This window comes from Homo sapiens, chromosome 4 (assembly GCF_000001405.40).
Source record: "Homo sapiens chromosome 4, GRCh38.p14 Primary Assembly".
NCBI classification, from domain to species: Eukaryota; Metazoa; Chordata; class Mammalia; order Primates; family Hominidae; genus Homo; species Homo sapiens.
In genome coordinates this window covers 181,420,272-181,432,088 of record NC_000004.12, presented here as the reverse complement: position 1 = coordinate 181,432,088, position 11,817 = coordinate 181,420,272, and the positions used below count along the sequence as shown (strand labels likewise).

The 11,817-nt window shown below is 39.7% G+C and overlaps 1 long non-coding RNA gene across 1 annotated transcript in view; it reads left to right on the top strand.

The window, feature by feature from the left end:
* The window catches only part of LOC124900822 (uncharacterized), a 38,107-nt gene continuing 31,071 nt past the window's right edge, over positions 4,782 to 11,817 (top strand). Inside the window, exon 1 of the long non-coding RNA XR_007058402.1 lies at positions 4,782 to 4,858. This is a non-coding gene — a long non-coding RNA (uncharacterized LOC124900822). The remainder of the gene's footprint in view (positions 4,859 to 11,817) is intronic.

Below are 11,817 nucleotides of genomic sequence, written 5' to 3'. Positions count from 1 at the left end.
ACAAACTTCATGCTAATAAACGACTTTGTTCTATCAGTGCAAAAACATGGGATGGAGCATTTAATTTTTACCAACTCTCCAGCTATCCTTGCAATTCAAGTTATCTCGTGTGTGCTTTTACACCATCACCAGCACAGCTTCACAATCTATAATAACTCTAAGTATGAATATGAACACTGTTAGCAGGAGTCAACTGTCAGATACAGTCAGGAGGATTTTCACATGCAATGGAGTGAAGCTGTAACTGCGGAGCATGCTATGCATTTGCAATAACTGTGTAAATGCAACCTTATGGGATTCCACACAGCACATTCTAAAAGCACGAAAGTGTGTTTGAAGGATAATGCTAAATGGTGTGAGGTATATTTTCCAAAAAGTGCACATCAAGAATCTAAGAATAAAGAAATAAAACCCAGAAAACCATATGTTAAAGCCTGTTTCCTCTCTGAGGTTGCATTAGAGTTATTTAAAAAGAAAGAAAGAAAAGAAAGAAAGAAAGAAAGAAAGAAAGAAAGAAAGAAAGAAAGAAAGAAAGAAAGAAAGAAAGAAAGAAAGAAAACACAAAAAAAAAACAGGAAGGAAATTAAATTTCTATTTTCACAGGCAATAATGTGTTGTACAATTTGCAATTAAAAATAAATTAGGCACAAAATCTGCAACAGATTGTTTTTAAACTTTCATTAAACCTCTTGAGTTATGCTGCTAGATGCAATGTGCTAACAGAAATGCTAGGGTTGAAATGAGTTTCTGGCATATGAAATAAAACTATGTCTTCAATCTACAAAAATTTAATTTACAGCTTAGCTGATTGGATGTAGCATTTTAACACCATTTTGGAGGTTTAAGAACAGCAAGTGCCATAATCCTCTGAGTATTTTGATCACTAGCACACAAGCATGTAACATACTTTGTGTTCAAGGGGAACCTTTATCCAGGATGCAAAGCTGGTGCTGAATTATAATCACATTCAAAAAGATTGCAAGCCTGTGGGTATTAAGCTTTGCACTCTCAAGCTTAGCCAAGAAGATTTAAGCAACCTACTCTGGGACCATACGGTTGATCTGATAAGAGTATTCTGAGACCTTGAAGTTTATTTTTATCAGAAGTTTTGCATTCAAGGTCTCAAACATTAGACCTTTTTAGTGCTAATCAAAAGTGTTTCCTTGCAAGCTCCTGCAATGACACTTATAAGCAGATGGAATTCATAAGAGAGAGACAAAGAGGAGAGGGACAGGCACAATGGTTTACCCCCTAAATAAAAGAAAATCTTGAAGGTCTACAAATAACTTCTGATGTCTTAGATGTTATTCCAGTTTTCTTTGCTGTACTAGTCTGAAAAAGATTTGTCAGGTATTTTCACTACTCAATTTAAATACTTAAGTTATTTGAAAGACAGATGCCATCTGTATCGTAAAGCAGTCAACTATTTTGTTGAACTTTTTTTGTCCAAATGATTCAGTGAGTTATTTACAGAGCAGGTACTGCTCACATTCAGTCTGTAAGATAAGATGCAAGGATAAAATAGAGTTCAGAATTTATTTTTACATATTCTTTCATAAAAATTATAATTGAACATAAGAGATTAAAAGGCAGTGGAAGAATCACATCAAATAATCATACCTAAATTTCTCTCCCTTGAAGAGATGAGAAAATAAAGGTCTAGGCAGCCCAGGGTCCCTGGGACATCTGGAACAAAAGTCGTGGACCTAACACCTTGTGTTCTTTCTTTGCTCTTTTGTAATCGGTGACTATTATGGGAGTTATTTCTCTTACATTTATGTCATTTTGATTGAAAAAGATAAAGGACTAAGATGATTTCACAACAACAGTGTATCTATTCTTACTTATTTATCATTTGTGGGTGTTTTTTCCCTATTTTTAACCAAAAAAAAAAAAAGAGTGCAATTCAAACTGGCAATATTTTGATGAAGGTCCAAGAAATAATATTTTTTTCTCTTTCAATTGAAATGAAATAGAAGTTGCCCACACATATGTTTTTTAAAAACACATAGCAAGTAAGGCACAGATTATCTTATTCATGGTCATTGAGGCTTAGTGTGATCTGTTAAGGTCTATTTGTGTCTCTTTCATCAATGAAAGCGTGTGACATAGTCCCAGCTTTTGTATCTGGTAGGCTCAACTGCCTGGGTGATACGGGGGGCATAGTTCAGTTAGAATAAGGAAGAGGCAGGGGTTAGGCCTAGGCTGGATCACATAGGGAAAGTTGCCTGAGTGGCGTGTGGGTTGGATGTGGTACACAGATGACCCGAGACGACTTTAGCAATTTCCTGCCATGTTGACTGGTCAAGGCAAGTGGTAGGCCCAGTGAAGATCTATCTGGATACACAGACTCAAGTAGATACATAGAGATCTTAGCCAAGCAAGAACAGAAGTCAGAGATTAAGTCCAGGGTTTAAGATTCAAATAGGGCCTGGGAATAGATGTACGTATATCAATGCTTCATATTCATAGTGTCAGAATCTTGATGCAAAAGGATGGCCTGCACGATGACACCATTTGCACACACATAACCATGGGCCCCGGGCGTAGCATGCTTTCAGCTCCAGTTTCTAGCAGACTTTGCAGTGTTCTTGAATAAAGACTTAGAATGATCCCATTTTTTTCTCCATCCCTCCCTTTGCCAAGAGGGTAAGACGACTTTCTTCAGGTGACTGTAATTGTAAAAGGGCAAATTCCTCAGGGGTGGCCTCAGCTTTTAAAGGAAGAACCTGCTGGTTCATATAGAGGCTTCCTTGATTAATTAAAGAATAAGGACAAAAAAATCCATCTAATGGTGGGTGGGAAGTCCACATCCTATCCAACAGCTGAATTAAGGTCTGGGTAGAAACAGTAATGAACTACACAATTATTGCAGGTCTTTTTTTCGGTCATCACTATGTCTGATCTCTAAAATATTTGACACCACTGAGGACTCCCTGATTTTGAAATCTCTCTCCTCTCCTATTTCCTGAAACGTAGCTCTCTGCTCGTTCTTCTACATTTCAGACTTTTCATTTTTATTGTCCTTTCTGGTTTCTCAACATCCTCATGAGTTATCCAATTATTGGGACATTTCAGGCTTCTATACTTGGTTCTTTGCCTTTCTCAAATACCCTTCCTGGATGCCCTCATTTTATCCCATGACTTCAGCCTCATCAAATCCTGATGATTCTGTCTCTACCTTCAGGTATTAGCCCTCTTCTGAGATCCAGAGCTGCATTTCTGTTGCCAACTGGACATATCAAATCTGGATGCCTTTAAGTACTTGAAAGCTAAAATGTCATAAACTGGACTCCTTTCTTTCTTTCCACTCCACCCCTCACTTCCCTACCATGCCTGCCTAAGCTTGTTCTTGCTACTCTAGTCTTCACCTTGGTTAATGGGGCAATTTTCTGCCCAAAGTGTTTATCCTGTGGTCATTTTCAAAGCTCTCATCCTCTTCCCTAACATCCAGTGTCATAAGAGTCTGTTAATTCAACCTGAAACACATCTCTCTGATCTGGTATGGCCTCTCCTGTCACCTTGCTGCTACTCTCATCCTACCCATTGCCTTACCATCAATCATTTGCAATAACTCTGGTATCTGATTCCTCCATTTCATGGTACTCACCATGTGGTCCAAGAAGGGAAGCATTAGCATCACGTTTGCTAGAAATAGAAATCCCTAGGCCCCACGCACACCTGTTGAGTAAGAAACTGGGTGAGGGGCCTGGCAATATGTGTTTTTAACAAGTGCTCCAGATCATTCTGAGGAATGCTCAGTTCGTGAATCACTGATGCAGTTGATCTCTGCTCTGCTGGCTGAATAATTCCCTGTATAAGAAACCCAACTGTGTCATTCCTCTCATGCATAAATCTGCTTGTAACCAATAAAATTAGCCAGTGTCTTGTGAAAAGCTTGTGTGATGGCCAATAGTGCTGTTTACCAACCTTCAGGGCACATGCTCCCCTTCAAAGTTAGGAATGCCCATGTATATTGTTTTGGTTAATGAAATTTAAAGTAAGAGATTTCTTTCACTTTTGGTGAGTGGTTTGTTTGTTTGTCTTTTTGAGACAGAGTTTCACTGTGGTTGCCCAGGCTGGAGTGCCATGGCACGATCTCAGCTCACTGCAACCTCTGCCTCCCTGGTTCAAGCTATTCTCCTGCCTTGGCCTCCCGAGCAGCCGGGATTACAGGCATGTGCCACCATGCCCAGCTAATTTTGTGTTTTTAGTAGAGATGAGGTTTCTCCATGTTGGTCAGGCTGGTCTTGAACTATCGACTTCAGGTGATCCACCTGCCTCGGCCTCCCAAAGTGGTGGGATTACAGGCGTGAGCCACCGTGTCTGGCCGGTGAGTGTTTTTTAAATAACCAGTGCACAACTTGCCCCGTCTCTTTCTCCCTGTCATGGTCTCTAGCAGCATTCAGGTGGTGGAGGGTCTGTTAGCCTGGGCCCTAGAGAAAGGATGATGAGGAGCAGAAGTGTGAGCTGACTGTGATGGCTATGTATGGGAGTGAGAAATAAACCCTTGTTTCAAGTTACTGAGATGTGGGAGTGTCTGTTCCTGCTGCACAACCTAGCCTATTCACAATGATTCACTTTACTTTCTTGTTCTTGGCCCCCACTCAGTAATTCTCCTTTCCTATAGTTTGTGCACAAAGAATAATAAATTCACTGTTCAGTCAATCTGCCAAGCTTCTTTATGACATCACAGCTTTGCAGATCCTACTCTCTGTGCTTGGAAGACTTAACATACGTTTTTACCCAGAAAATTCCAGCTCATTCTTTGAGTCTCAACTCAGATATTTAATCTTCTGGTTGTTTTCTACTGACTTCCTGGGGCAAAGTCAATTGCTCCATCCTGTCGGCTATCACGGTAATCTTTGCATGCTTCTGGCATATTTTGTATCATGGTTTAGTATAATTTAATTGTCCAGGCTTTTGCTCTTCTTACTAAATAGTAATTTTCTCAATGATTGGGGCTGTGACTTACTCATTTTTAGTCCATCAGGGGAATTAGTTATTTTAAAGGAACTTTAAATATAAAACATATAAAATATAAATATAAAACATCTCTTATATTTTTCTAAAAATAGAGTAACCTAAATCTTCTACAGCTATCACAGTACATATGTGTGTGTCTGTGTGTGTGTGTGTATATATATATGTCTATATATGTACATATGTCTATATATGTCTATATATGTCTATATATATCTATATATATCTATATATGTATGTGTGTGTGTGTATATATATATACACATTCAGTAGTTCTTTAAACTTTTTTCTTGTATTCTTTAATTTTTTGGTTGTTTTACCCAATGTCATATTGGTTTAAGGTCTTCATGAAACCGTCAGCAATAATCCCCATGTCCTTTGCTTAGGTGGCAACAATGACTTGGTATAATTAACCCCTTGAATATTGAAACTACAAATTTATATAGCAGAAGTGACAGTTTTATGAGCGAACTCACCATGCTAAAATTACAGTTTTTATCTCTTTCACCTGAATGCATTATCTTATCTGACCATAGCATCATTCATCTGCCACTTTTTGCCCACTCCACAATTTTGTGAGGACTTCTCGTACTTTATTCGTGTCAGTTTCATATGTCACTGCCTCAAGCAGTTTAGTTCCATATGCTAACAAATATTTCATCATGGGTTTGCCCTTTGTACATCATAAGTAAGACTGCTTTGACACATATTCCTTGACCTGGACTTGCCAAAAAATGCTGCTTCGTCTGGATGCAGCCCATTCTGTTGATGATGGCATCATTGTTCTGAGACATCCAGGACACCATGTGACCCCTTCATCTTCTTCTTCTTTTTTTTTTTTTTTTTTTGAAATGGAGTCTCACTCTGTTACCCAGGCTGGAATGCTGTGGCTGGATCTTGGCTCACTGAAACCTCTGCCTCCTGGGTTCAAGCGATTCTCCTGCATCAGCCTTCTGAGTAGCTGGGATTACAGGCGCCGCCCCCCAACCACACCCAGCTCATTTTTGTATTTTAAGTAGAGATGGGGTTTCACCATGCTGTCCAGACTGGTCTCGAACTCCTGACCTCAAATGATCCACCCACCTCAGCCTTCCAGTGTGCTGGGATTACAGGTGTGAGCCACTGCGTCTGGCCCCCTTCGTCTTCCTGGCTCCCCATAGCTGATCTAGTATCCAATGCCCTTCACACTTATTTCTTTTCTCCCGTTCTATGTTTAAAAATTCATCTTTCTGAGTTCTTCTCTATTTATCCCCCTAAAAATTCTGAGAACAAAACAACAAAACTAGATTCTTAAAACAATACCAGCTCACTATTTCTTTGCCCTAAGGCCTTCAAAAACTCTTACCGTCAATATAAAGTCAATCTCCTTACTGAATTATATAAATAACTCCACAAATGGCCTTTACCTTCCATTCTACTTTCATCTTCCACGCATCTCCCAATTTAACCATCTTCATTTTAACACCTCTCTGTGGCATTTCACCAGCTGGACTTATTCATTCCGACTTCTGTTCGTTTGCTCATAGGCTGCCCCTCGACTAGAATTCTTTTACTTGTTCTTGTTGCCTTAATAACCATACTCATTTTTCAAGATAAAGCTCATTTCTCTCCTTCATTAAGCAAGACCTTTCTCGCCTATAAAACTCTTTCCTCATTTAAACTTAAGGCACCTACAAAATACATTATTCATTGAACAATTACGAAATAACATTCTTACTTTTTAGTCTCAGTTTAATTGTCTCCCTGATCATAAGTTTGCTTACTATTGGGATGCCTTATAATTTTTCCCCAGGAATTTTTCTCAAATACTTAATACTTAGGATGATTTCAACAACTTATTGAGCACATGTTGTATTGGACGGGCCAAGCAAGAAACTGTCTGTTACAGTTTTGTCTTTGCTTCAGGCCTCTGCCAAGGGCTTCCTTACCCTTGGTTCTCTCTGCTTTTTTCCATGTGACACTCCCTCCCTAGAGGTGTGCAAATGTCCAGAAGGCAGCCAATCTGTGGGCTGACCAGCAGCCTTAGATTGGTCCTGACCATAGAACTCGGTTTATCATGGTGTTGAATATTGGACCAGTGGAGTCAACCAGATCCTTCTTCTCTGTAATTTTGAACTTTAGAGATGAAAAACAAAAGCATTATTTAACACAATAGGCAGGCAAAGCAGAAATAGAGAATAGCCCATTTACTACAAAGGCAGAGCCCTAGAATTAGGAGATGGCCTTTGCAGAGAAGACAAGCCAGCTCGGCTGGTTGTGTCCTGATCTGTGCTCCAGGCTCTGACAGGCCTGCATGCAGGCTGAGCTATATGTCTCATGGGGCACTCTAAGCAGCTGACCTGGGGCCTGTAAGACTGTATGGGCCTACAAAAAATATACGAAACCTAAAAAAAGTCTAAAGGGCTAAAAAACACAAACATGAAACTAATACAATATGTATAAAACATCACAAGAGTTGGTACATTTGGTATTTGTAATAATTTTGTTACTTTTGAAAACAGTGTACAGGTTAGATTTTCTCATGTATGCATGATATATTTCTCCCTATGCTTGCTTGACATATGCAGCTTTGTGACTCATGTGACTCATGGACAAGTTATTTTAATAGTAGAATTATAATAATAACTTCAATTTTTATAAAAGTTTTTATTTACCACAGATTTTTAAATTCATTTTTATACCTTTGCTATGACATGAAATTGAGTATCCAAGTCAGAAGAGCTCAGGACTTTGTAAATTCATTAAAAAAAAATATTGTGCTCCTATAAGGAACTATTAACTGAGATAATTTTAGTTTGTCTTAATTTCCTTGCATGTAAGACCCTAATATACATACTATGAATCAAATGCTTTGCCCATATTACTGCCAATCCTTACCATAGGCCCATGAGAAACCTTTATTCATTTTGTAAGGGAGTATATAAAAAATAAAAAAATTCTCAAGACTTGGGGATTAAGTTTAGCTTCCTAAAGCTAGGACATGGCAGAAGCAGATTTATGCTCATCTGTGAGGCTCCAGAGTTCTCTCTCTACCATGCTGCTTCCTCATTGTTAGTTTCTCTCCACCATTATAAAACCTTTCTCTCTTTCTTTCCTTCTTTCTTTCTTTCTCTTTTTTTTTTTTTTTTTTTTTTTTTTTTTTGACAGAATCTTGCTCTATTGCCCAGACTGGAGTGCAGTGGTGCATTCTTGAATCACTGCAACCTCTGCTTACTGAGCTCAAGCCATCCTCCTGCCTCAGCCTCTCAAGTACTGGGACTACAGACCTGTGCCTCCATGCCCAGCTAAATTTTGTATTTTTTATAGAGGTGGAGTTTTGCCATGTTGGCCAAACTGGCCTTGAACTCCCAGGCTCAAGCAATAGACCTGCCTTGGCCTCTCAAAGCGCTGGGATTACAGGCGTGAGCCACCATGCCCGGCTGATATCTTTCCCTATATTTTCTTTTCCTTTATCAGTCAATTATCTAACAAACAATTAAAAAATAGGGACAGCAGAGGAGAATAAATCTGATTGATGCTGGATGGGCCTATCATAATAGGCTGTGGACTGACTTACCATTAGCTCACGCATTTAGTGTGTTCCTTTTACTTTTTGATACTGTGTTGTGTGAAACTCTTTTGTCCTTTGGTTTGGTTTTTTGTTTTTGTTTGGGGGGGTGTTTTCCCCTCCTTTGCCCAGACTTCTCCTTTAACACAGTTGTGTTAGCCTGTGGCTAGAACGCCCTCTTCCTACCTCAGCCTCCCCTCACTTGTCATATCCTCTGACACGCTAACATTTCTTTTGTTCATCTCTGTTGCCCTCACAGAAAGGTCCCAAAAAGAACCAGTCAGGGTTCCTCCCCAATGCCTAGGTTTCTGGGATAGGTTTCTGTTACATCTTCTTTAATCGCCTCTTAAAAATGTTTAGAAAATCTGGAGCTCAAAAATGCATTCGGCCATGTTGATAATTTAGTAAGTTAAGAACATCAAACATCATGACAGGGCTGCGTTAGAGGTTACTTACTTGTGGTAGCAGGACTGATTTGATTGAAATTGCTACCATGTGCATTGACACCACATAAATAATCAACCAGCCTACTGGGTTGCATTGCACTTTCTACCCGTGCATGAAATTTATGAGGTTTCTTCTTAGCTTTGTATCATGGCCAAAGAGGTACTATTGGGTTGCTTGATACGTGCAAAATAGAGGAAGAAGGCATTTGGTCTGGCAGGTGTGTCAGATGGGAGAATGATGGGGGCTGAACTGCTGGGAGAGGTCAGAAGATACCCATGCTAAAATGTGACTATCCTCATGTTTATCCCAAACCAATCTTGGGCTTTTCCATTCATTGGCTTTCTTTGTTTGACCCTTATTTCCCTTGAAGGTTTTATTAAGTTCAACTATATTCTGTCAACTTTTCCAGTTTCAGTAGACTCTTGTATTTCTGGTTCATTATAACGAATTCTTCCCTCAAATCCACCCAGGATTCTTTCTTTATTTGGGGCTCTTCAAAATGCTATGGCTACTTTAACAATGTCTTCATATACCCCTTGTATAGGTGAAAGAGTCTCCTTCTTCCTATTTGTATAAAAGTTCTGGAGAGAAAAAAAATATTTCCCCAATCCAACCATAAGTTACTATATGTCATTATGTGTAACTTGGTATTTTAAACCTTGGATTTTAGGAATGGTGTCAGGATCAGAGAAACTGAGATAAGGCAACAGTTGAAGGAGACACAACAGTGACCAGAGCAGCCCAGATCAAGGTTAAGAACACTCCAATCCCAGGCCTGGAGCCAAATGCACAGTGCTGTTAGGTCCCAGCCCTGCCTTCGGCCTAGAAGTCCATTAAATAGCATCTCACTATACAATCGGCCAGATCAAAATGAGTAGCAAGGTGTTCTCTTTTTTTTTTTTTTTTTCCTGAGACAGAGTCCCTCTCTGTTGCCCAGGCTGGAGTGCAATGGTGCGATCTTGGCTCACTGCAACCTCCGCCTCCCTGGTTCAAGTGATTCTCCTGCCTCATCTAATTTTTTGTATTTTTAGTAGAGACGGGGTTTCACCATGTTAGCCAGGATGGTCTTGATCTCCTGACCTCGTGATCCGCCCACCTTGGTCGGCCTCCCAAAGTGCTGGGATTACAGGTGTTCTCTTAAAAGGAAAAGTTGTAAAAGAGAAAGGCAGACCATGGGTGTGGGCAGGACAGAGGAAAGCTCGTCCCTCCTTGTGTGGTCTTGGTGAGAAATTGAAAAGAGAGAGGGTGGTAGACTGATTGTCTATGTAAGCCTCTGATATTTTTTGTTTGCTTGCTTAATTTAATATCTTAGTATTTCTTTTTTTTTTCAGCCTCCTTGAGGTTTAATTGACAAATAAAAGTGTATGTATTTAAAATGCACAATGTGATGATTTGACGTATGTGTAATCATAAAATGGTTACCACAATCAGCTAGTCAACAACATCTCACCTAGTTACCTTTTTTTGATTGTTTGTTTTATTTTTGTGGTGAGAACATTCAAAGGGTACAAACCTTCAGCTATAGCCTATGCTCCAGCTAAGTGCTCCCAATGACTGCACTGACTCTCATTCCTGGATAAAAAATTAGAATCCATTAGAAATATTTTTTAAACGTTTGCATTCAGCACTGCCCCTCCTTCCCTACCCCACCCAGGTCATGCCTTAGCTTTTGAAGGGTGAAACCCAGGCTTCAGTACTTTCAAAGCAAAAACCTCAATTACTTTTGCACCAGCCTAATAAAAGATAGGATCTGAGGATCTCATGTACAGCATAGTGACTCTAGTTAATAACACTGCTTTGTATACTGAATTTGCTAAGAGAGTAAATCTTAAATAGCCTCAGATCATTTGGTCATTGAGCTAGAGACTGCCTAGCTACTAAATCAGAGAATGTGGGACCAGTAAGGACTGGGGTTAGGGACAGCACCAGGAAGATGGTGGCATCAAGCATGTGGTCAGTCCAGATGAGAACCACAAGCTCATTTTGAAAGTCAGAATCACATCTGCATACTCAGCAATGACAGATTCTGAAAAGAAGGAGAAAACATCAAGTCAGAAGGGCAACTCAGACCCGGAATCCGTGAAGAAAAGTCAGGACAGGAAGTGTGAACAATGGTTCAGGAACTTAGAAAAAATGGGCCACAGAAATAGGCCTGCTGCAGTGGACAGGGCTTGTATCCTAAGCTACATTTCTGCGGCAGTCACAGAGTTTTATAGATTCCTGATGGGAAATTATAAGCAACATAGCTTACTAAGGATGCCAAGAGCATCCTCAACCATTGCTGCTTATAGAAGTCACTGAGAAATATTTAAATAGTACTGAAGCCTGGGACATACCCTACAAAAACGAAGTCATGACCAGGATGGAGTAGAAAAGGAGGGGTGGTGCTGAGTACAAACATTTAAAAATATTTCTAGTGAATTCTAATTTTTTGTCCAGGAATGAGAATCAATGCCGTCATTGGGAGCACTTAGCTGGAGCATAGACCGTAGGAAATGAGGAAACCCCAGCAGTTTCTGGTAGGTATACTCCTGTTTATTAATGTGACCTCAGATTACAAGGACAGAGATTACAGAAGTTATGTGGGAATCGCAGCACTATCTATACACTATACATTTATTCCCATGAGGTTAGGGACCATGCCTTCTTGTTCTCCCCATTATATTTTTAGCAACCAGCACAGTGCCTGGCCCATAATAGATGCTCAGTAAATAATATGTGGAATGAATGAATGGATTCCCAGCAGGAACTGGCACTTGTACTTCGAGTTTACTAATTTTATTGATGTCTACAGTGCATTTTTGGTAAGAGCATTGTGCTTATTTTTGCATTTAAACTTT